The 26286-nt window shown below is 36.0% G+C and overlaps 1 protein-coding gene, 1 long non-coding RNA gene and 2 pseudogenes across 2 annotated transcripts; 3 read left to right on the forward strand and 1 right to left on the reverse strand.

The window, feature by feature from the left end:
- Positions 1–975: 975 nt before the first annotated feature.
- On the reverse strand, positions 976–21072 carry PABPC5-AS1 (PABPC5 antisense RNA 1). Its single transcript, NR_110659.1, has 4 exons — positions 20976–21072; positions 4857–4944; positions 4398–4466; positions 976–1122 (listed from the first exon to the last, which is right to left on the reverse strand). It is a non-coding gene; the product is annotated as a PABPC5 antisense RNA 1 (long non-coding RNA).
- Positions 3517–8612, forward strand: LOC107985643 (TSC22 domain family protein 3-like; annotated as a pseudogene).
- Positions 8960–10489, forward strand: LOC100287033 (TSC22 domain family member 3 pseudogene; annotated as a pseudogene).
- PABPC5 (poly(A) binding protein cytoplasmic 5) lies at positions 20912–24657 on the forward strand. Its single transcript, NM_080832.3, has 2 exons — positions 20912–20967; positions 21508–24657. The coding sequence occupies exon 2, from the start codon at positions 21651–21653 to the stop codon at positions 22797–22799; it is 1149 nt and encodes a 382-aa protein (NP_543022.1). The 5' UTR covers positions 20912–20967; positions 21508–21650; the 3' UTR covers positions 22800–24657.

The following is a 26286-nucleotide window of genomic DNA, read 5'->3' on the forward strand; positions in this document are numbered from 1 at the left end:
ACTTTTTTTGTATTTTTAGTAGAGATGAGGTTTTGCCATGTTGGCCAGGCTGGTCTCGAACTCCCGACCTCAGGTAATCAGCCCACCTCGGCCTCCCAAAATGCTCAGATTACAGGCGTGAGCCACCACGTTCTGCCTAAAATAATTTTTTTAAATAAAAAGAACCCTACCAAGTTTTTTTCTCCACCCTCACCACAGCAAAGCTCAAGAGACTCAAATCTTGGGTCTACAAGTCACAACTTAAGAGGGCCCCTCCAGGCTCCTGGAACTGCACACCTGTTGGAGACTCTAAGGTAAAGCTAACCAAAGAAATTCTTTCCGAGAAACAGATGGCATTGTAATACATGGACAGCTTTCCTAAGATCATGGACCAAGATTTCTCTGCAATTATGAAGACCTTAATTTTCCTCCTGTTTTCTGCTGTTCTCACCCTTTCTCTTTTCATGCAGGAAAATTCATGGGACAATAACCTGCAGATGGCTTTAGCAAAAGCTTGTGCTCTAGCAAGAAACCAAATAATTGTTGGTTTTGTGATCTAATGCAAAAAGAAAAACCCTTAAGAAACCATTCCATTATTGCCAATACTTCTTCATGTTCCCATACACACCTTGAAAACCTCAAAGGAAGAGTGAAAAGTTATCCCTGATATGTTAAACATCACTACTTATTGCTTTCCTATGATCTATAGAAGTAGTACTCTTACCTTTTCAATCAATAGCCTAATTGCTACCAGGAACTTTAAAAAAAATCCTCTCTGGGTGATGCCTTTTACAAGGTATACTGTGCCTTCTGGCATCAAATATTAGAGACCCAGGAACTACCTATGTGGGTACAAGTAACTGCTTATATAACACTACTCACCAATAGGTGTGGTTATGCACACCTACAGTATACAACAGAGGGGCCACCTAAGAGCAAATTTCTTTTTGTATTTTATTCAGGAACTATGATTATTGACTGAGTAGATATAACTGACCTTCGCTCAAACGCCACTAGGTGGCCTTCCTTTCCAGCTCCCGAGGGCCTATATTGGGCCGGCCTCTTCACTTTAAAATCTTGCTATTTGTCCCGTCTCCCTTCTGCCTTCCAAACAGCGTTTCCTGAAAATCCTCTTAGTATTTTCTATAATCAGAAATCAAAAAGGAAAATAATCAAAATTAGTATCCATGTTGAAATGAATATGGACAAATTTGTTTTCAATGAGGAAAGGTTCCCATCATGTTTCTGATGCCTAACTTTTGGCAGTATTGAGGTGTCAGTTGTATGAAATGTAAAGCTAATTCATATAGTGGGAAAAAATTTGGAATTTGTGGCCAAACCTCTCAGGGATTCAGATGCATAGAGGCTACCCTCTGACAAATGGATGGCAAGCTTGGCTGCTCTAAGGTTTTCTAATATTTACATTTCTGTTAATGGACCTCCAGATCACTGTGAATTGTGTCACCAGACTAACCACAAAATTCAATACCTCTTTAGATCACGCAATCTTGCAGCATGCTATGGGCCTTGTTCTCCATCATATTCCAAACAAGGAGTATGACCAATGGGACTCAAACACTAATGAATTACACCTAGTGCCTGAACTTTCAGTTGTTCAATTTTGATTAGTTAATTCATGGAGACTCCTGCTGGAAGGTGAGTTTCAGTTTCTTGGCATTGAATTGTGTTGTATTCACTCAAAAATTTTAAATACCCATATACAGCTGTCTTCTGTGCATTGAATGGTCTCATTACAGTTGGAATAACAAAAACATAAAACATAAGAGTCAGCTAACTTATTTTACATCGTGAAATTGTAAATTCTTGACAATTGCTGGATCCAGAAGATTGATTGTGAAGGCTGCAGAGGATGGTGTAACTCCCCATGCCTATGGCTTTGGTCAATCTCTCTCGGGTGAGAGGATGACCAAATGGGGGGAATTGTTAAATTAAGTATGGTTTAAAAGGGCATTTTTACATAATGAACTGTGGCCTAGCTTGATGTGTAAACAAGTTGTCAGCATACATAGTAGTACGCCCTTGTAATGAAGCAACAGTGTCTCAGTCAAGTATAGTAGCCGGACCTTCAGCTGAAGGTCTGAAAGCTGCTAAAAGCTGCTGAAAGCTGCTAAATTATTCCCAAATAAGGCAAATGCAAACTGTGCCAATCAAGTAATCCCTATATGTCATTTTCTGTTTTCTGTTGTAAATATAGCTCACCACGTTGGGGGTGGGAGCATTCTGAATAATCTTTGGTCCAGAATGCTGCCTGGTTCTAGAAGCTACTGCTTGCTCAAATAAACTTTGTTGAATTTAACTTGTCTTAGGTTTTTCCTTAACAAACTCCATAAGGTATATGCTATTTTATCTCCATGAAACATAGTAATATGAAGATTACAAAGGTTAACTAGCTTGTCTAAGCTCTCATAAGTTGCAGAGCAGCACTATTGCACCTGTCCTCTTCTAAATATCTTCCTTGCAAATAATTTCAGTATTTTCAAAGTGTCCAAATGGTAAAATCACTTATATTTTCTAACAAGTAAGCAATCTATAATTTATTCAAGTTATTCTGAATAAGCAATTTAGCTTTTTTGATGATTAAGACATATTGCTATGTCTTAGACACTAAGACAGTATTAGTGCAAGACATATATTAACTAGATAGTTAACTAGCTAATCTCTATGATAGGGGATGGAGTTTCAAAGTTTCTTAAGACAGCGTCTGGTCTTAAGAAACTAGTAGCAGAGTCGGAAAGATAGGTAAAGTGATGATGAAATGTGGCAAGTTCTATAGTAAACATTTGTGTAATATGCTATGGGAAATCAAATGAGGGACTGAGACTATCTCTATCAGGAAATAACAGTATGTTTCAGAGAAGGAATTTTGAAAAGTGAGTAGCAGTTGATAAGGTAGAAAAAGAGAGAAAGACATGCTAGACAGTGGGAGCAACACACAAGTATAAAAGTGCATGACACGAAAATGGCATGAATGGTGAAGAGACTATTTCAATGAAGCAGCTGTATATGGTATGCGGTAAAGAGCAGTGGGGAATGAAGCAAACAAGGTTAACTGATCAGGTCATGAAGGACTTTGTTTGCAATGACTAATTTATCCTTATAGTGAAAATATTTGGAGCCATAGAAGACGTTCAAGCAAGAGATGAACAAAATTGTATTTACATTTTACTTTTAGATTCTAGTCTACAAATTTTACATTTACATTCTATTCTGTAAACAAATAACTCTATTTACACTACATTTAGATTATTCTTGTGCCAATGTAAATGATGGGATGAGAACAGAGAATCCTGGAGGTAAGAAGACTAAATATATGAGCGCTCCACTAAACCATGTGAGAGATTATAAGTATCTGAGCTAATACAAAGATAGAAAAAATGATGGAAAATGTATTAAGAAGTAGAAATAAATTTAATTAAGACATAGGAAGGAGCGCTCCCAAGGAAACTTGGGAGTATGTCCCAGGCTGCAGTCCATTAAAAAAAAAAAAAAGAAAAGGACATAGGTATTGGGTAGTCCATGGATGGTAAAGAAGAGGAGGAACCATCAATGACCCCACAGCAGTTTCTCTTGGAAGTGACTAAATATGAGGTTCATATATAAATGAAAACATAACTTGCATTATAACTTAGTTTTGTTCAACTGCTCAGAGTCCAATTACCTTTCGTTATCTTCATGGGAATTGATTGCACGGTTAACCTCGGCTGGCTTAAAAATTCTTCCCACCAGTACAATAATTATGTGAGAAGCTTTGCATAAATTAACATTAATCTAATTCAACTAAAATTTGTTATTTGATTACACCTTATCTAATTTCTAAAAGGATTTGAAATAACTAGCACTGAAAGGCAGAGAAATATTGTTTTATTTTATAAAAAGACTTTGAAAACCACCATGGAAAACAGGGAATGTGTTTGTTTTGTTCATCACTATCACTTGTTTACTATTATAGTGCTTGGCCCATAGTGAATATTTGTTAAATAAATAAATAAATTGAAAGCAAGTAAAAGACCCACACTAAGTAGCTACAATATAAGTAAAAGGAGTGTTACGCAAGAACTTTGAGTACATTAAGTTTTTTAAATTTGAAACATATTTTCCAAGAATTCTCAATGTAGTCAATGCTGAAGACTTACCATAGAAAACCTGTAACAGAACATTATATTTATCATAGCAAACATTTTAAAATTATGTATTTAACACAAAAAATACCTTAATTATAACAGGAGGTGCAATGTGCCACTAGCTAAATATTATCTTAAAACATACTACTATGCATTACCAGAAACTTCTCATTGTCAAACAGTTTCAGGAAGGGTCAGGACTAATTTTGCCAGTAAAATATTGTGGATCTGGGGGGATATTGTATTAAATAAATATTAAACTCTAAATCAACAGACATTTCATTTTACTGTTGAAGTTTCTTCCTAGAGTTTTCTTCTTTCACATTATTACATTTTGCCAGCCAGCTGTAGATGAAAACACAATGCAATATGTTAAACTCACAGTCAATGGATTCTGTTTCTAAGTTATGCTTCTCACAAAGTCCACACTTTTAATAAATATTATATACTATGTTGTAACTTAATTATTATCAGAATTATTTTTAAATGAGAGGCAAAGACCAAAAGAATAATAAGATGTGACTACAGAAACTATTAAAGAAGCCAAATAATTTACTAAGAAAGCCAAATTAGAAAACAAAGAGTTTTATATTAAGGATGACAGAAAGATGACTCCCCATGAAATACATTTATTTGCCAACTGCCTAAAATTCATTCATGAATTCTAATCCAAAATACATACTTCCAAGCTTTAAGACACTCTGAAGCTAGAGTGATCAATTCCTCTGGGCTTACCTTAGACTTTCCAACTTTTACCACTGAAAGTCCAGTATCCCAGGAAACCTCTCTGTTCCACATTAACAGGGATGGTTAATCACTCTATCTGAAACACATCAGAAAAAATAAGAAAACTATGATTTTATACCACGTAACTTCATTCACATGTTTTATTAAGCTCTGACCTAACCAAACTATTCATTTCAATGTAAAATAAGAGCAATTAACCTGAATCCAATTATTAAAGTAAAAAAGGAACTACGTCCTTCAGTTTCATCATATGTTTTCAAGTAGTTTATTATCCTGAATTACAACGGAAAAGAATTAAGTAGTTCCAGTAAATTCAGAACTATACCTTTCATTGCAAAATAATTATGTTACGGCTAGATCGAATACAACAGACTTCACATGTCTATTTTTACTCTGTCTCTCACATACTGCTCTTCTGTAGTTATAAATTTCACAAGTGATAACAGTTTAAACTAAGAAATTAACTCAACAAAAAATTCATGGTTAAGATAGTTCTCTTCTTCAGGTATTGAAGAATTGGTAGCAGATAAAAATTAAATTATATGAGAAAAGCTTAACATTTGGTGGATACATTTACAATATGCATATAATAAGCAACTTCAATGTTGAAATGCTAAATTTCATGTAGAAGTAAAATATTTTTTCTTAATAGGCCATTTTATTCCGAAAAATAATATTATAAACACTATTCTCGTATTCTTTCTCAGAAACAGACATAAACATCCTGGATTTTCATGGTGCCCTAATGTTTATATCTGATTCTTCACTCGGGTTTGAGCCTGAAAACCAACTGAGGCCAATAGAATCCAAGAAGAAATCTTCTGTGCTGGGATGTGACTTCAGAGAAAGGTTTTCTTCCATGATTAGGAGTGATAAACTAGGCAAATGTTCTGCCTTGCCCTTGCCTGAATCAAATATATAGTCTGTCAGCATGAGATTCCTGGGGCTTCAGTTATAAGTATGTGAGGATGAGATCCCTCAAGGGGAAGCCTGAGAGAATAAAAGAAGACACTTAACCAACACCTGAACCATCTCTCTCTGGTATTCTTTATGTGAAAGTAATAAACCTCTAGGGTTTAATTCCATTTTAGTCTGGTATTCTAATACATGGGGCTGAAAGCATCTTAATTGATACTCCAGTTTTCCAACCACAAAAACAAAAATACTATAGCTGTCAACATGATAAAAGGCAACTTGTTGGATAAACAACTAAACTTATCACTTTGGTATTTGTCTTTACCTATTTCCCTGTTTTTATATAGTTAGGTTTTTTTCTCTGAAGTGAACTTTTATTCTGACTCAAGATGCACAGGACTATTAATTTCTCCCAAGGACTAACATCATGTCAGCTTCCACTCATAAATGAAAGAAAATCTTGTTATAAGAATTACTGCCGGGCGCGGTGGCTCACGCCTGTAATCCTAGCACTTTGGGAGGCTGAGGCAGGCAGATCACCTGAGGTCAGGAGTTCGAGGCAAGCCTGACCAACATGGAGAAACCCTGTCTCTACTAAAAATCCAAAAATTAGCCAGGTATGGTGGCAAGCGCTTGTAATCTCATCTACTAGGGAGGCTGAGGCAGGAGAACTGCTTGAACCTGGGAGGCAGAGGTCTCAGTGAGCCAAGATTGTGCCACTGCACTCCAGCCTGGGCGACAAGAAAGAAACTCCATCTCAAAAAAAATAAATAAATAAATAAATAAAAAGAATTACTAACATGTCAATACAGAGACAAAAAGTTCCCAGAAAACTTTCCCACTTGAAATGTTCATAAAGGGACTTTCCAGTTTCCAGCTCATCATGTAAAGAATGTGGAGGTCAACAGTCCTGTCCACACAACAACAACAAAAGCTGAACAAACTGAAATTCAACACCATATTATTGATTCATCAGAGAACCTAGGGCACAGGGTAAACCACTGTCCCCAAAATTGGAGAGGAAGATAAGCAGATAGAATAACAACTTATTGAAGAAGAAATGCACACACAGAAATCCCCATGTTAACCAATCCAGAGTAGAAAAATCTAAACAGTAATTAATACATTTCTGGAGGATTTGTGTGAAAAAAGTTTGAGAGTTAAAAGCTCCAAGGTGGGGGTAGTCTTGGAGATGCTTTCACATTTTTGTAAGCTTTACTGCCAAGAGATAACTAGGTTCTCACAGTGAACATCAGAGAAAAATGTCTTAGTTATTTCAGCAGGAGGAGAGGAAAAGTAGCCATTAGGAAATACTCTGAGAGCATTCAGTTTTTCACAAGGCCTGCCCTCAAGAAAGACTATTTTGTCAAAGCTGTATCCACTTGGGGTTTTACCAGAGGCTAACCCACCTGGAAGGAAAATATTCAACTCCAGCAATATCTGGAATCCCTGCATCACCTAGGTGGTGGAGGAAAGATGAGAAGCACTTACAAAGGTCATAGCTCAGGGAAACAGGCTCACTAAAAGGCTGAGGTCAAACCATAGGGCAATATAATGATTCTCCTTCCACCCACATTCTAGCAATACATCAGTAAAGACCTATGTACCACAGTTATCCAATATATCATGACTTCCTTCCAACAAAAAATTACAAAGGATAGTAAAAGACCACACAATTTGAAGAGACAGAGCAAATATAAGATCTGGATTCAGATATGACACAGATTTGAAGACTATCTGGTAGAAAATTAAAAATAACTGATTTAATAAGCCAAATATTCTAATGAAAAAAAGTCAACATGCAAGAACAGATGGATAATGTAAGCCATGATATGGAAATTTTAAGAAAGAATACAAAGAAACGCTAGAAATAAAAAACACTGTAACAAAAAAGAAGAATACCTTTGACAGGCTCATTAGTAAATTGAACATGGCCCATGAAGGAAACAGTGAACTGGAAGATAGCATCAATAGAAATTTCACAAACTGAAATGCAAAGAACAAAAATACAGAAAAAAAATAGAACAGAAATGTGAGATTACTACAAAGGGTATAACATATATGTAATGAGAATACTGGGAAAAGAAGAAAATGAGAAAGGAACAGGAGAAATACTTGAAGCAATAATGACCAAGAATCTACTAGGATTAATGTCAGACACGAACCACAGTTACAGGAATTTCAGAGCACACAGAGCAGTATAAATGTCAAAAAGTCTACACCTGGGAAAATTATATAAAGAAAATCAAAGACGGAAAGAATCTTGAAACAGGTCATAAGGGACAAAAATACCGTAACTAGAAAGCAACAAGGATAAGAATTATACTGGACTTCTTTTTTTAAATTGCAGCCTGTGCCGTCAGAACCAGCTGCTGCAGCCACAGAGGTAGCCAGAATCAGAGGGAAGGTGGGCTGGGCTGTGCAGGGCTGTGCAGGGCTGTGCAGGGTGGGGCAGGCTTCTGGCTGTCCACCATGCACTGCTTTGGAGAAGGCTGCAAGCTTCCCAGCCCAGAAGGACTTCCTAGCTAGCTTTAAAGTCAGTGCCTCCAGAGCCAGCACGGTGGCCGTAGACAACAAGATAGAGCAAGCCACGGATCCCTGGATGTGATGAAGAATCATCTGATGCATGCTGTGAGAGAAGAGGTGGAGATTCTGAAGGAGCAGATACTAGAGCTGATGGAGATGAACTCCTAGCTGGAGTGCAACAACACCCTCTTGAAAACCCTGGCGAGCCCAGAGCAGCTGGAGAAGTTCCAGTCTGGTCTGAGCCCTAAAGAGGAAGCTCCAGAATCCCAAGTGCCTGAGGCCCTTGGTGGTTCTGCAGTGTAAGTGGTTACACCAGCTATGCAAGGTGTCAACTTCTCATGAGATGATGCTTGGGGAGACAAAAACAAACTGGAAAGAACTAGGTAAAATAAGTTTGGTGGCTTTGCTCACTCTGAGGACAGAACCACCAGCTTGGCCAACTTGGTGAAACCCCATCTCTACTAAAAAACTACAAAAATTAGCTGGGCGTGGTGGCACACACCTGTAATACCAGCTACTCGGGAGGCTGAGGCATGAGAATTGCTTGAACCTGGTAGGTGGAGGCTGCAGTGAGCCGAGATTGTGCCATTGCACTCCAGCCTGGGCGACAGAGCAAGACTCTGTCAAAAAAAAAAAAAAAGAAAAGAAAAAAGGACATGGCCACCTGGGTCCACTCTAGTGACAGATCCCCAGCAAAGAGTAGATCTCTGGAGGCTGATTTGCATGGGGTCTAGTAACTCAAAGCCAATGAGCCTCTAATGCTACTGAACCCTGGGGCCTCCCAGGGACTGGGCAACTTAGTTGCAACTGGCAAAGAGGAAGGGTAGTTTGAGATGTGATACCAGTTTTCTCCAGAAAGTATAAGGGGCCTGTTTCTTATTCCATGGACATCTTCAGCAATTTCACCTGACAATAACTGTTCCTAGGAATAAGTCACTTGTGTTTTAAGCAGAGGCAGCCTCCCTTTTCTCCTCTGCTTTGTGAAAGCAGAGGACACAGATGGGACAGATTGAGCCAAGTCAGCCTTCTGTTGGTTAATATGGTATAAAGCATGGTTTTGTACACAGTGCAGTGTGAGATTACAGCTTTAGGATAACTGCTTACAAAGTTCTGCTTGGTTAGTATTGGCATAGTTTTTCTTAAAGTCACAAATGCATGCACACACACACACACACAAACACACACACACACCCATAGGGCTAGATCTGTATCTTAGTGTAGTGATATATACATACACTCATCCACCTACACGTTGAAGGGCCTAAACAGCTTTGGGAGTATTGACTGGTACCTTATCTCTTAAGGCTCAGTCTTTTGACTGTGTTCATTTACCATATTGATGCAGTTTCTCCTTTAGGTTAAGTAAGACTCATAAGTAAAGGCAGGGAGGGTGCCAGCCTCTGAATGCAGCCACAGATGCCTTACTGCTGCAATCCTTTCCCCAGCTGTCCACTGGAGACACATGAAGTCATTTGAATGCCATACCCACCATTCACTGATGCTGACTTCATAGAATGGGGTTAACGGACCAGTTTGCATTTCACAGTGTCATTTAAATTTTTTTTAATTATTTAAAAATAAATAAATAATTATGTGGAAAACTTACAAATGAAAAGAAGGAGGGTGTCCTACTGTGGATGAGGGATGGACAAGGGAATGGCTTTAATCAAATGGAGCCTGGGAGGTGTACACAGGGAGCTTGTCTGTAGGAGAGTGATATGCTTTGATTCTGTGTCCCTACCCAAATCTCACCTTGAATTGTAATAATCCCCGTGTCAAGGGCGGGACCAGGTGAAGATAATTGACTCATGGGGATGGTTTTCCCTATGCTGTTCTGGTGATAGTGAGTGAGTTCTCACGAGATCTGATGGTTTTATAAAGTGCTTCCCCCTCCACTTGGCACTCATTCTCTCTCTTGCTGCCCTGTGAAGAGATGACTTCCACCATGACTGTAAGTTTCTTGGGGCATTTTCTAAGCCATGTGGAACTGTGAGCCAGTTAAAACCTCTTTTCTCCATAAATGATGAAGTCTCCGGTATTTCTTCATAGCAGCATGAGAAAGGACCAATACAGGGAGTGTGTGATAGTTTCTGACACATTATCCTGATGTATGTTTCCAGGATTTGGGTTTTGATTTTTCAAATGTAGCTTGAAATTTCAATAAACTTTCCTCTTTTTTTTCTAAAAAAAAAGCTGCTAACAACAAGAAGGTACAATAAAATATTTAAAGTCTTGAAAACACCCCACCAGCTTGAATTATCCATCTAGCCAAATTAATGTTCAAAAGTGAAGGACAAATAAAGACTCTTCCAGACAAACAAAAATTGATGCAATTGCTGCCAGTAAGACTACCTGGCAAGAAAGGTTAAAAATATTTATCTAAAGATAAGGAAAATCACATAGGTCAGAAACTTGGACCTAAATAAAGAAAATGAGAACATTAGTAAATGAATAAATGAAGGTAAAATAAAACATATTTCTTATTTTTAATGATCTAACAAATAAGTTTGTTCAAAATAATAATAGCAACAATGTATACAATTATTATAGCTATAGATAAGTTAAATGAATGACAGTTATTATAGAGGAATGGGAAGGAGAAATTAGCAATACTTCATTAGAGGGTATTTGTACTGCTTCCAAAGTGGCATAGCGTTATTTGAAACTAGAGTTGCATTTATTGTAAATATGTGTTATATTATTTCTTCCGCTTACTTTGGATTCAATTTTCTCTTTTTCTAGTTTCATGAGGTGGAAGCTTAGATTACTCATTTCAGATCTTTCTTCTTTTTAATATATAAATTCATATTAATTCACTGCTATAGATTTCCCTGTAAGCACTAGTTTTGTGGCATCACATGATTTTTGATAAGTTTTATTTTCATTTTCATTTAGTTCAAAGTATTTTTAAATTTCTCTTGAGACTTTTTCGTAGCCATGTGTCTTACTTATTAGTGTGTTGCTTAATTTTTATGTATTTTGTGGTTTTCCAGCTATCTTTCTGTTGTTGGTTTCTAATTATTTCCATTGTGCTCTGAGAGCACACATTTATAATTTATATTCTTTTAAATTTGGTTTAGTGTGTTGTGTGGCCTAGAATAAGGTCTATCTTGTTGAATTCGTGTAAGCTTGAGGATAATGTGTTTTCTCCTGTTGCTGGGTAAAATATCCTATAGGTGTCTATTAGATCCAATTGATTGATAATGTTGTTAAGTTCAACTGTATCTTTCCTGATAATCTTCTGGCTGGATCTGTTCATTTCTGACAGAGGGGTGTTGAAGTATTCCAATATAATAGTAGATTAGTATTGTTCTCTTTGCATTTCTATTAGTTTTGCCACATCTATATTGACACGGTTTTTAGACACATTCATTAAATATTATTATGTCTCTTTGAATAATTGACTTTTTTATCACTAGGTAACAGTCCTCTTTATCCTTGACAATTTTTCTTGCTCTGAAGTCTACTCTCTCTGAAATTGATATAGCCACTCACTTTCTTTATCCCTTTACTTTTAATCTAGATGTGTCTTTATATTGAAAATAGTTTTTTTTTTTTAAGACAACACACAGTTGGGTCTTTTATAATCCACTCTGACAGTCTCTGTCTTTTAATTGCTGTATTTAGATCATTGATGTTTAAGGTGATTACTGATATAATTTGGTTAATATCTGCAACATTTTTTACTGTTTTCTATTCATTGTCCTTCTTTCTTTTGATTTTTATCTTCCATTTTTATTCCGCCTCCTCAATCTTAATTGATGAGTTGCAAGATCTGGATAATGAGTTGCAAGATCTGATTGTTGAAAAGTGTGGCACCCTGCCCTCATCTTGTACCTGTTATCACCATGAGAAGTGTCTGCTCCTATTTCACCTTCCACCTTGAATAAAAGCTGCCTGAGGTCTCCCTAAAAACTGAGCAGATGCTAGCACCATGCTTCCTGTAAGCATGTCATAAACTAAAATTCACTTATTTCTTATGTTTTTTTAATTATATTCCCCCCTCTAGAATGTAAAAACTACTACGTATGGCAGAAACCATGTCTATCTTGTTCAACATTCTATCCCTTAGGCCAAGCATAGTGCCTGACACATAGGGGTCCCTTAATAAATATACTTTATATAAGTAAGTGGACTGCAAATAGATCTTAAAATGATCACATATATCTTAAAATGCACCTTAATATCATCATATATTGAGTGTCATGAAAATGAAATAAGATCTATAAATAATTATGTGAAGAAAAATACATGTCGTGTTGGTGAGGGGGGAAGAGTTGAAGCAAACGTGAAATACCTAGCAGTCAAACTGAAACAGAGAGCTCACTTAAGTTGATGATAATGTATCCAAACATTTTAAAGGTTATTTCAGTGTTATTGGAGCCACAGGTACGTCAACAAATTAACCAAAACAAATGTCCCCACATTATTAATGAATGATTTTTTTGTCTTAATAGTAAATCAGTTTCAAGGCTATTTCAGCAACCAAAGTCTAGAATTAAGACTTTAACAACCATGAAAAGAAATAAGGATAAAAAATTTGAGCCACAATCAGGACACTTCAATCAACAGTAACTATACCAGGACCTCTTATATCCTTTGATTTTTTTTGAGGCAGGTTTGTCTCTTCTATTTAAATTTAAATCTAATTTTAATATTAATTCCTACCTATTTATCTTTGTTTTTGTTGCATTTGCTTTTGAGTTCTTGGTCATGAAGTCTTTGCCTAAGCCAATGTCTAGAATGGTTTCTGCACAGCAAAAGGACCAGTCAGCAGAGTAAACAGACAACCCACAGAGTGGGAGAAAATCTTCACAATCTATACATCCAACAAAGGACTAATATCCACAATCTACAAGGAACTCAAATCAGCAAGAAAAAAAAAAAACAAACCATCCCATCAAAAAGTCCCTAAAGATATAAACAGACAATTCTCAAAAGAAGATATACAAATGGCCAACAAACGTACGAAAACATGCTCAGTATCACTAATGACCAGGGAAATGCAAATCAAAACCACAATGTGACACCACCTTACTCCTGCAAGAATGGCCATAATGAAAAAATCAAAAAATAATAGACATTGGCATGGACGCAGTGAAATGAGAACACTTCTACATTGCTGGTGGGAATGTAAACTAGTACAACCACCATGGAAAACAGTGTGGAGATTCCTTAAAGAATTAAAAGTAGAACTACCATTTGATCCACCAATCCCACTACTGGGTATCTACCCAGAGGAAAAGAAGTCATTATACGAAAAAGATACTTGCACATGCATGTTTATAGCAGCACAATTTACAATTACAAAAATATGGAACCAGCCCAAATGCCCATCAATCAACAAGTGGATAAAGATATTGTGCCACACACACATATGTATATATCTATATGATGGAATACTACTCAGCCATAAAAAGAAATGAATTAATGACATTTGCAGCAACCTGGATAGAACTGGAGACTATTATTCTAGGTGAAGTAACTCAGGAATGGAAAAGTAAACATCGCATGTTCTCACTCAGAAGTGGGAGCTAAGCTATCAGGATGCAAAGGCATAAGAATGATACAACGGACTTTGGGGACTCCGGGGAAAGGGTGGGAGGCGGGTGAGAGCTAAAAGGCTACAAATTGTGTTCAGTGCATACTTCCGGGGTGATGGCTGCAGCAAAATCTCACAAATCACCACTAAAGAACTTACTCATGGAACCAAATACCACCTGTTCCCGAAAAACCTATGGAAACAAAAAGTTTTAAAAAATAAAATAACCCTCAAAGAAATTATTTCTTCAATACTGTAATAATTCATATAAGATGCTATTAAAAGAACACCTTTCCAGTAGTGACGTTTCCACCAGTGAACTTACGCCAACTCTGTCTTCGATTCTCCAAAACCAATGAACTCTATTTCCAAGCAGCTTATGTGAACTTATTTTTTTGCCAATATCAGCTTCCCTTTACTCTGCCTCTTCAAATGCATGCATGACTTGGCATAGCTGTGCATCTCAGGTTATAAACTTCATTTCTAATTCCCAAAGAAATTCAACATTTTTGGAGAAATATATATATATCTATATTATATGTATATATAAATTTTTAAACTGTATTTCTAATGGAAATGTGCTAGAGCTTAAGTATTGCTCCAAGTCAACAAATACTTATTTTGATTATAATATAAACCAAAGGTAAGTATTACCGATGATTCTTTATTGAGAAAAATCAAAGTAATTAGAATGTGTGTTTCTTCTCGGATCAGATGCATTAGTTTACTTTAAGCCTTGGAGTTTCTTTGAGTTTTCACATTGTCAGATTCTAGTATTGTCATTTACACTCTCTGATATTGCACAGGAATTAGGTTTAAAGGACAAAGTAAGGAAGTAAATGTATAATATTAATAAAATAATAGTAGAAATATTCATTACATTTTATAAGGGTAAAATATTTTTATGCCACCTCACCCCCAAAATGAAATATATGGAAAGGAAATTTTATAATAAAAAAACTTTTTAAGAGCATATTTTAGACAGTGGCAAAGAAGAAGTACTAAGGAATTAAAAGACCAAATGGAAAATGAAGATATTTTACCCTTTAAATATAATGTGCAATTGATATAACTGCTGTTATATGTAAAAAAGCAGAAAAATAGTGATCACTCTCAGAAGAAAATGGGAACGCAGTTCCTGTTTTCTATTATGTGGATTAATGTGGATGACTGAGAACTATAAAAGGGGAGTCCCATCAGCTTTCACAGGAATTGCCTTATTACTTAGTATGTTGATAAACACAAGGCAGAGATTTGGGGACACAGGATGCTTTAAGAGAAAGAAACTCTACGATTTTTCCATTGAAATTGATTAAATAATAATGTATTGTTTTACATACGCAGTTTTATGTAAGGAAAGGCAGAGGCTTTTCCTCAATCATCTGCTTGTTACAATTTTAACTTTTCCTCATTTGCGGAGAAGTGTTCTCCATGTTTTATATTTTTGAACAGACATTCCACAAATGAGGACAAAATGTTAATATATGATGGTCAGTATTTGGAAGATGGTTTGGTTTGGTCTGACGTTCTAAACCAGAAGTCTTCAATTAGCTTCCTGCCACATATTCCTTTCTTAATCCTTACAAGCTAACGTGTAACCCTCTCCTGCAATCTGCAATTCTCACGCTCTCTACCCTGCCCTGCACACACCTAATTGAGTCCATATATATCCAAGTTTTACTGGTAAATGGACTGACCATGAATATATACACTAGTCTGCTTTGAAAACATGGGCTAAGTTTATGTGACTACTCACTCAGAGATAATGTTATAAAAATGATTCAGGAGCTTTTATGGTTGAATATGCATTTTTATGGTTGGAATGCCATTGGCTGTACATGTATTTTCTCTCTTTCTTTTTCTTTTCTTTTTTTTTTTTTTGAGACAGGGTCTTGCTCTGTTGCCTAGGCTGGAGTGTAGTGGCATGAACATGGCTTGCTGCAGCCTCTGCCTCCTGGGCTCAAGCGATACTCTCACTTCACTGAGTAGCTGCTAACACAGGTGCCTGCCATCACACCCAGCTAATTGTTTAATTAGCTGGGGTCTTTCCATGTTCAACAGGCTGCTGCTGTTGAACTCCTGGGCTCAAGCAATTCTTCTGCCTCGGCCTCCCAAAGTGCTGGGATTACAGGAGTGAGCCACCATGCCTTATGTTTTCTCAAAGGTTATATAACAGTACTCAACTATAAAATCACCTGTTCCTGTTCGTTTTATTAGTAGCATATGTGTAATCATTCTGTCATTTTTTTCTAAGGCTATTGTTCTTTTTTCCTTTCAATGAAATTTGGTAATTTCTATTTTGCTAGAAATTCCAAGTTCCTCCAATTTTTCATGTTTTTGGCAAAATAGATAAATTGCTACAGCATATTTGAAACAAGTCTGACAGTATATAATAACATTTCATAATATACATACCACTTAATTTTGCAATCCCCACTTCTGAGAATCTAGTTAATAGAATCAATAATATATAAAATTACGCAATGTGGATGTTTATTATAGCATTGTTTGTTATAATACTAAAATAACTAAAAGCAGCTTTAATGTCCAACAATAGAGAAACGGTTTAATATATTTTAAATGTCATCTAAAAGCACAGGTTAATAGGTATAGAGTTTCAGTTTAACAAGATAAAAAGAGTTCTGGAGATAGATAATGGTGATGGTTACACAACAATATGAATGTTCCTAATACCGCTTAAACACTTAAAAATCATCAAGATGGTAAATTTTGTTACATGTATTTTACAACAATTTTAAAATTTAAAATAAAGCATAATGTTCACATCTTTTAAAATTATTATTCTTTTATTTATTCTTCTAGGTCAAGTGAAAGGACTACAAATCAAGATTTCTAATCAGAGAATGTGCTAAATATATATTTTCCCTATATGAGACGTGTTCAGTTAACAAGCACTAGCAAAGAAACAGAAATTTGTCTGAGACTATCTGCTAAGCAGGCAACGATCGCCTACCTTGTTTCAATGTATCATAACAGAAAATAGCTTAATTATATATAAATCTCTAAATACACTGGATTCTGAATACATAGTAACTGCTTAAATTCACATGTACTATTCTAAGTATTTATTTTAAACTAATAATATCTAATTAAAAGGGCACTCTAAGATGTGTTAATCAATCTGATTTTAGTCATCATTATACAATGCATACATATAGCAAATCATCACATTGTACATCTTGAATATATACGATCTTTGTCCATTAAATATTTTAAAATAAAAAATCACCCTGAGGAGATGCCAAACTAACTCAAAATATATTTAAAGTTGTTATATTATTTTTATTATATGTTTTTTAATACTCATATTTCTTCACAGTTGAATGATTTTTTTAAAAAATTGTACTAAGAACACTTAACATGCGATCAACCCTTCTAACAAACTTTTTAAGAGCACAATACAGTATTTTTAAATATAGGCACAATGTTGTACAGCAGCTCTCTAGAACTTGTTCATCTTGTGTAACCAAAACTTTATGTCCACTGAATTCCCCAGTTCCCCTCCAGCAGTCGCTCCCAACCACCACTCTACTCTCTGTTTCCATGAGTCTAACTATTCTAAATATGTCATTGACATGGAATCATGCACTATTTGCCCTTCCGTGATTGGCTTATTTCACTTCACATAATGTTCTTGAGCTCCATCCCATCCCTGTTGCCACATGCTGCAGGATTTCTTTTTTTTTAGGCTGAATAATATTCCATTGTATGTTTATACCACATTTTCTTTATGCATTCAACCATCAATGGACATTTATGTCATTTCCAAGACTTAGCTATGGTAAATAATGCTGTAATTAACACGGGAGTGCAAATATCTCTGAGATTCTGATTTCAATTACTTTGGATATATACCTAAATATATGTGACTACTATCCAGTAGAACTTGGATACATATTAACTCAATTAGTTGTGTGTGGGGAGGGGTAGAGAGCATGAATGTTGGCAGATTGCAGGAGTAAGGTTACATGTTACCTTGTAAGGATTTAGCAATCCTAGTAGGATTGCTGCTTCATATGGAATTTCTACTTTTAAGTTTTTGAAGAACCTCCATACTGTTTACCATAGCAGTTGTACCACTTTACATTCCCACCAAAGGTAATGGATTCCAATTCTTCCACATACTGGCCAACATTTGTTATGTTTTGATTTTTTATAATAGCCATCTCTACAGATGTGAGACGACATCTCATTAAGGGTTTGATTTGCATTCCAATGATGATTATGATGTTGAGCATCTTTTCATTTACCCATTAGCCATTTATATTCCTTCTTTTGAGAGATGACTATTCAAGTTGTTTCTTTGTTTGTTTTTGCCATTAAGTTGTAAAAGTTCCTTTTATTTGGGGACGATAGCCCCTTATCAAATACTTGTTTTACAAAAATTTTCTCCCATTCTGTAAGCTACCTTTACACTGTTGATTGTTTATTTTGCTGTGCAGAAGCCTTTTAATTTGATGTACTCTTTTTCTATATTCTTTTTTTTTTTTTTTTGCTTGTGTTTTGGTGTCATATACAAGAAGTCATTGGTAAGACTAATGTCAAGAAGCTCTTACCCTGTTTTCTTCTAAAATTTTATAGTTTCGGATCAGGTTGAAAGTCTGTATTTTGAGTTGATTTTTGTGTACAGTGTAAGATAAGGATCCAATTTTACGTATATCCAAGTTTTTAACACTATTTGTGAAAGAGACAATCCTTTCTTTATTGTGTTTTCTTGGCACCTTTGTCAAAGACCACTTAACTGTACATGTGTGGGTTTATTTCTGGGCTCTTTATTCTGCCTCATTGGCCTATATGTCTGTTTTTTATGACAGTGCTACAGTGTTGTAATTACTGTAGCTTTGTAACATGTTTTGAAATCAGGAAGAATGGTGTCTCCAGCTTTTTTCTTCGTTCTCAGATTGCTTTGGTTATTCAGGGTTTTTTTGTGACTACAAATGAATTTTAGGTTGTTTTTTCTATTTCTGTAAAAAAAAAATGCCATTGGGCTTTTGATAGGGATTATATTGATCAGTTTGGATAGTATGGAGATTTAAAAAATATTAGACTTTAGGGTTTTCTACAGATAAGATTATGCCATCTGCAAACAAAGATTAATTTACTTTTTTCTTTCTGATTTTGATGCTTTTATTTCCTTCTCTGGCCTAATTGCTCTGCCTAAGGTTTCCAGTACTATGTTGAATGGAAGTGGTAAGTGTAGAGAAGTGATTATTTTGAAAACGTGTATTATAACAAATCAATTCTAACTATAATCTTAGAGAAAATATGTACAAATAAATTTGAATATGGACAACATTTAGTTGGTTACAGGAACAGATGAAAATATTGATTTGAATCAATGATGAGATTGTGGAAATTGGATTTATGTTGTTATTTTACTATTTTCAATAAGGCAGTTTTAAAAATGAGAAAAGTCCAAAACAGACTAGAATTCTAACCCATTGTTAATTACGCATAAAAGAAAATATGTTTATAAAAATATATTCAAAATGCAATAAACTAGGCAGATGTTCACAAGTGTTTCCACATGTTGGTCACTCTGGTCACACTGTAAAACCCATTTATTAGTCTATAATATCATTGTTCATATTTGCCTTTTCTCAAAATCTCCATGTCTTAGTTAACCAAGAACACTAGAAAGCAAGCAAAAAAAAAAAATAGTAAAGAAAATTACTAAGTTTTTGAGTAAATAATGAGGTTTAATGTCAACTCTACAGTCTAATAGACACTATAAAATGTATAAAGTGAATGAATACGTTAATTTAGCCTCTTATTCTGAGGACTTATTAGGAAAACACCCACTAAGGTAATGTCCTTCTCTTGCAATCTTTTTTTCCCAGGATCTTTTCCAGCCTAAGAGTAGTGATAGATGTTTTGTTTGGATTTTTCTGGAGGGGTAGGAATTGTGGAAGGAGCCTCTTGAAGTGTTGTTTGCGCATGCTAGATATCAGTGAATTTCTGAAAACACGGTCAAAATTTCTCTCCAAAAGGGTTTCTCAAATACTCTGAAGAGAGATATTGTTGAGAAACTGCTGAGTTGAGTCCAGTCTGATGGCACTGTTTCCTTCAAGGGTTTCAAGTTGACAACTCATGATGAAATTCATAATTGTGTAAAGTGCATATATCTTAACATGTTTATTTCATCTGTAAATATTAATTACATATTTTGTATTGATTCTGTGGCTTTTATCTCTTTAACTGAGATTTTGTAACTGTAATTCTCGCGGCAGCTCAACAGTTTCAACGTTTTGTGGCACTAAACACCATCAAAAGCCATTATATGGCTCTCCAATCATTAAAACCTTAGTATTATGGGATCAGAGAAAAGATCTCTTTGCCTACCACCTGAGGAAAATATTACCATTATGTTGGAGATTAATGAAGTAAGGCTAAAGGCCAAAGGCAACATGGTCCTGTGTTCTACTTGACCCTGTGATCCTTTAGCACTGGATTGGGAGGCCAGGACATTTGTAAACTTTGACTTTCCAATGCACTCAGGAAAGTATGCAACCTATCCTTTTCCCTAAGCTTAAATGATTTTGATAATTAGTTTTTTAAAACTTATTATTTTTGCCCAGGTCGTCATCTTCTTATGTGATTTTTAGATGTTCGGCTTAAATATAGTGTTTTAAATAATAAATAACATTTAAAATATAAGAAACATCTAAAAGCCATCTTAGATTTTTCTTTCTCTCCTTCTCTCTCTCTCTCTCATTCTCTCCCCTTCTCTCTCTCTCTCTCTCTCTCTCTCTCTCTCCCCCCTTCTCTCTCTCTCTTTTTTTTTAAATCTTGGTACAGAGGAAGCGGGAAGTTACTTAGCACGGTTCCGGGTTTCTCGCGCCCCGCCTGTCCCCCCTCCCTATCACTGCTACTGGCTCTTGGTCCCTCCGTTGGACTGTCCTGCGGAGAGAAACCCCAGCCCATCGGTCTGCGCTGGGACCGCCCGCCGCGCATCTGCCCTTCTTCGCTGACTCCGCCCCGCATCTGGCCAGACCCGCCTCGCGTCAGAGCTGACCCACTCACTGCGCGTTTGCCAGTCAGTCTCTCCGGACCTGCCTCGAGCCTCAGGCTGCTGAAATCACCGCGCCTCACTCGGTCCGTACCCAGTGGGCATCTTGGGTATCTGGGCGGTCTTCGATCCCCCGCGCGTGTGTCTGTCTGTCTGTCTCTGTGTCCTATCCGCTGCCTGCAGCCTGCCTGCCGGTCTTATCGCACCAAGTGTCTGGTGTACCCTTTCGCAGACGCTGAGTGCGGAGAGGCCTTAGCGAAAGGCTAGCCAGCCCGAGACTGGCCAGGCAGCCGGCGGAGGAATACGCGCTCGGTCCCTGCCCTTGTTGATATCATTTTAAACCAACAGGAGCTCTAGGCCTATATTTATGCAGAAAGCGGGTCGGGAGGCCTCTGTCTGCAATGCTAGTTGTGGGGAACCAGCCAGCTGCTTGGTGGCTTCTCACAATTTCACGGGGACAGGAAAATTACGTTTCTGGTACTGGCTTTTGAAACTGATTTTAAATCTGAACGGGTGACAATTTTAAGTCCCCGCAGGGAGAATAGATTCGTATTTGGGGCGCCTTTTTGTCTGATGTGTTTGTTCTGAGCCTGCTGACCAGCTGTTTCTGAACTTCATTTTCTCAGCCTCGACAGTGATTCTGAGTCTGCTTTTAGCTTCCTTTTGCCTGCCTTGGCTTTTTCTGTTCGTGAACAGCTGTTTGGCCCATAGCTTAGAGAAAGCAGCCTTTTTTCTCTTCAAAGAGAACCTCCTCCCAGTGCTCAGAGAGATGGGGAGCGGGGAGCCTAATCCTGCTGGCAAGAAAAAGAAGTATCTCAAGGCCGCTCTGTACGTGGGTGACTTGGACCCAGATGTCACCGAGGACATGCTCTATAAGAAGTTCAGGCCTGCTGGCCCTCTGCGATTCACCCGAATCTGCCGTGATCCGGTGACCCGCAGCCCCCTGGGCTATGGGTATGTTAACTTCCGCTTTCCCGCGGATGCAGAGTGGGCCTTGAACACCATGAATTTTGATTTGATTAATGGAAAACCATTCCGCCTTATGTGGTCTCAGCCAGATGACCGCTTAAGAAAGTCTGGAGTGGGAAATATATTCATCAAAAACCTGGACAAATCCATAGACAATAGGGCCCTGTTTTACTTATTTTCTGCTTTTGGGAACATTCTGTCCTGCAAAGTCGTATGCGATGACAACGGCTCTAAGGGTTATGCCTATGTTCACTTTGACAGCCTGGCCGCTGCCAATAGAGCCATCTGGCACATGAATGGAGTGCGGCTCAACAACCGCCAGGTGTATGTTGGCAGATTCAAATTCCCAGAAGAGCGGGCGGCTGAGGTCAGAACCAGGGATAGAGCAACTTTCACCAATGTTTTCGTTAAAAACATTGGAGACGACATAGATGACGAAAAACTGAAGGAACTTTTCTGTGAATATGGGCCAACTGAGAGTGTTAAAGTAATAAGAGATGCCAGTGGGAAATCTAAAGGCTTTGGATTTGTGAGATATGAGACACACGAGGCTGCCCAAAAGGCTGTGCTAGACTTGCATGGAAAGTCCATCGATGGAAAAGTCCTCTATGTAGGGCGAGCACAGAAGAAAATTGAACGCCTGGCTGAGTTGAGGCGGAGATTTGAACGGCTGAGGTTAAAAGAAAAAAGTCGGCCCCCAGGGGTGCCTATCTATATTAAGAACTTGGATGAGACAATCAATGATGAAAAACTGAAGGAGGAATTTTCTTCCTTTGGGTCAATTAGTCGGGCCAAAGTGATGATGGAAGTGGGGCAAGGCAAAGGATTTGGTGTGGTCTGCTTTTCCTCTTTTGAAGAGGCTACCAAAGCAGTGGATGAGATGAATGGCCGCATAGTGGGCTCCAAGCCCCTGCATGTCACCCTGGGCCAGGCCAGGCGCAGGTGCTGAGAATAAGAATGCTCAGTTTGTTTCAGCCTTAGTTGGTGCCTCCTTAGTTTGGGCTCCTTTGTGATAAGGGGTTATTTTATGCTAATTCACAAGTTTTTTTTTGAAGTGAATTCTTTTGAAAAAAAAATGCAAAACTAGAAAACTTTATTCATTTTAGAATAGAACATAATTTCTAACTGTAAAATTGTCATTTTGTACTTTTTTTGATGTAATATCCTTAGAAATCTGTAGAATAAAGTGTATTCCTCCACTTTTTTTTCCTGAACAGTCAAGGTGAGGCAATTGATTGAGTATATTTCCCTTCTTATTTCAGTAATACTCTATTTTTTTTCATGAAAATGTCAACATGGTTCTTCTGAATCTATCACAGTGAAAAGTTCTAACTTGTTTTTGAGAAGTCAGTACAGCAGGGGAAAACATATGTGATGCAATTAACATCTGCATAATTTCACTTAAAATTATTATGCAAAAATGAATGTTTTTTCAAAAAATGTGAAATGTATTTTATTTTCTTTATTTGTATTCTTGTTTCATTTTTTAATATGTTGTGAACATGCTACAGATTTGATAGTACTTTTGACTAAATGTTGGGAGTGGTCGTATTAACTTCTTGCCCAAAGAAGTAAGCATATTGGTGTTTTCTCAATTAGTCACTGAGAAAATTAACACTTTAGGCAGTGGCTATTTAAAGTAGGAATTGCATCTTAAAAACCTTTCCTAAGAGATTTGGTATGTGAGGATACTTTCAGTACCACTCCTACCATTCATTTTTCTAAATTCCTTAGTACATATACTTGGATCATGTTAAATTAACAAGAAAGATGAATAACTGCGCTGAATTGCCTTTACCTATAAATAATTTAATATTTTACCTTCGGGTTTTATCAACTGTCAATATAAAAGGCAGTACTCCACAGAATGATGTTGAAAAACTTCTTCGAAGAACACCTTCTATTAAACTTGTTATCTCTTGTAAATTATTGTGTGTGTCCTTTTGATAATATTCACAGGTGTTTCAAAGGTAAGGAATAGGTTGTCTCTTGGATTAAGTCATATGCCTCCAGCCATTATATGAGAACTGTGAAACCAATATGGTTTTCTTTATGTCTTGGCTGCTTGAAAATTAAAAAAAAAAAAGGTTTGTTCAATATTGCCGTTACATTTATTAGCCTGTAATTTCTAAATTGGAGATTCTCTACATTTCACTTGCAGTTTCCTGTTCTCCTCATTGCCTGCCTTCCATTCATATTACACTTATTTTTCTATTTTTTGTATTACCTTTTTAAAAATATATACCAGTTCAAGTCCTTTTAGGAAGAAGAAAATACCTAATTTATGTAAAATTTAAATAATTACTTTTTTATAATATGATTCACTTATGCCACAGATTCAACATTAGAATATGTTTTATCTCTACTGTCAGTTTTATTACCTTATATACAAATCTTCATTTTCATACATAGTACAATGTAAATATATAACTTTGTTAACACTTTTGTTAGCTCTTTGACCATAAAATAATGACAATAAGCTGTTTCTATGTATTTGTTTATCTACAAATTACAGGTTTATCCATTTGCAAATATTTTCAAAATGGAAATCACTGTTTATATTGATTATAAACATAAGACATGCTCATTGTAAAAAATGTACACAAGGCAGAAGGAAGTAAAATTTCCACAGTTCAGAAATACCACAATTAATATTTTCAATGTGTAAATATCTTTTCATAATTTTTCCTACGTATACACAAACATTTTGACCAAAAATCCACACTATATGTACTGTTCTGTATTTTTAATTTTAAACTGAACAATAATCATCTTTTCCTGACAATAAATATCAATCTCTATCATCATCTTAGTGACTGCATAGTATTCTATTCCCGTGTTGACATATTATAATTTATCTAAACAGTTTGCTATTGAATCTAATTTATATGATTTTTAACATTTTTACATGCGTAAACAATGCCGTGATGAACATCACTTGCTTAAAACCGTTATTAATTACTGACTGCAAAAAAATTTCTATAATATGTAAAAGCTTAAATCTGATAAAAAATATGTGCACATCATATTGATATATGTATCAAAATTTTGGAATACTTTCAAGATATATTCTGCATTTAGATTGACAAATGGAAAACTAAAAACGAATATTATTTTTCATTTTTCTGAGCCAACTTGCTTTACATTATTGTGATTATTAACATATATGAAAACTATGAAACTACAAATAAAATTTAAAATGTTTATATTGGTAATTATTTATCATATATACTCTCCATTTGTTTTTACCCATTACCAGTTTTCAGGTAAATTTATAAACCTGAAGTATCAGTGTTAGCCTGCATTCTTTACAAATGCTTTGATTCAATATAGACAGGTATCTATAATGTAAAAATTATCAAATAAAAGCATTTAATATATTTTTGGAACAATGTATTTAAACTATTACTATTTTTCAAAAGCTAGCCAGTATAAAGAAAAGAAGAAATTAAAATATGCCTAAGAACAGATAAAATATATATGTTTAGGGCTTTGATAAACTGTTGTAAAAAACACCTTAAATTCCGTTGGTGAAAATCAAAGCAAAAACATGAAGGAAAGATATTCTCTATTTGAATGTAAACACCAGAGTAGTTTTTCAATCCTGTACTTTTGCTCATCATTTCTTTTAGCACGAGATAATTAGTACGAATTAAACAGTTAGGTTAAGAATGCACCATTTTGTACAAATTTTGTTTTGTTCTATTTAGCTTTTCAAAACAATCACTTGTACAAACTTTAAATGTACCCAAGGAGAAGAAAACTAAAAATATTGTTTTGTAATTGCAAGCCATCATAGTCAAGGTTATTTTGAGGAGGCTTTTTTGTACAAGAAGTTGGCACATGCTGCTGCCTATCTAGTAATAATGGTTAAGGAGAAAAATAAAATGCTACACATGTAAGTCATATTTTTAGCCCAGTGGAAAAAAGTTACTATATTTTTTTAAGGGGAGACAGGAATGGAGTGAATATCCTCTTCCCTGTAAATAAGTGGCCTAATTTAAGGGAATAATTAGACATGTATCAATATATGAATGCAGATAGATAAAACAAGTTTTTTCAGCACTTATGACAATACCTGGAATATAGTAGGCATTCCACAAGTATTTGTGGAATGAATGAATTCATAATCTGAATTATATCCCTCCATTTGTTTGCTTTTCAATTCCCTCAATGTTTGACAAAAGAAATGAGTTATTACAGAATAAGCCATTTGTATTAAGGCCCATTCTATGAAGCAGTAATTGAGAAATGATTGGTTACACAGACTGGTGCTTATACATAGTGCTGTTGGTTACATAGACTAGTGCTTACAGTGTAAAGGTTTTCTCAATGTTTTCCCTCTTCTCATGCTCTTTTTTTCATTATTTTTGTGTTTAATACTTGATTGATGAGCCTGTCTTCAACAGACAAAGCTTCTAATAATTGGTGTAACT

The sequence above is a fragment of the Homo sapiens genome, chromosome X (assembly GCF_000001405.40).
Source record: "Homo sapiens chromosome X, GRCh38.p14 Primary Assembly".
Taxonomy (NCBI): Eukaryota; Metazoa; Chordata; class Mammalia; order Primates; family Hominidae; genus Homo; species Homo sapiens.

What these genes read in the sequence shown, in the direction of transcription:
- PABPC5 (NM_080832.3), top strand. Translation starts at nt 21,651, where the DNA reads ATGGGGAGCGGGGAGCCTAATCCTGCTGGCAAGAAAAAGAAGTATCTC.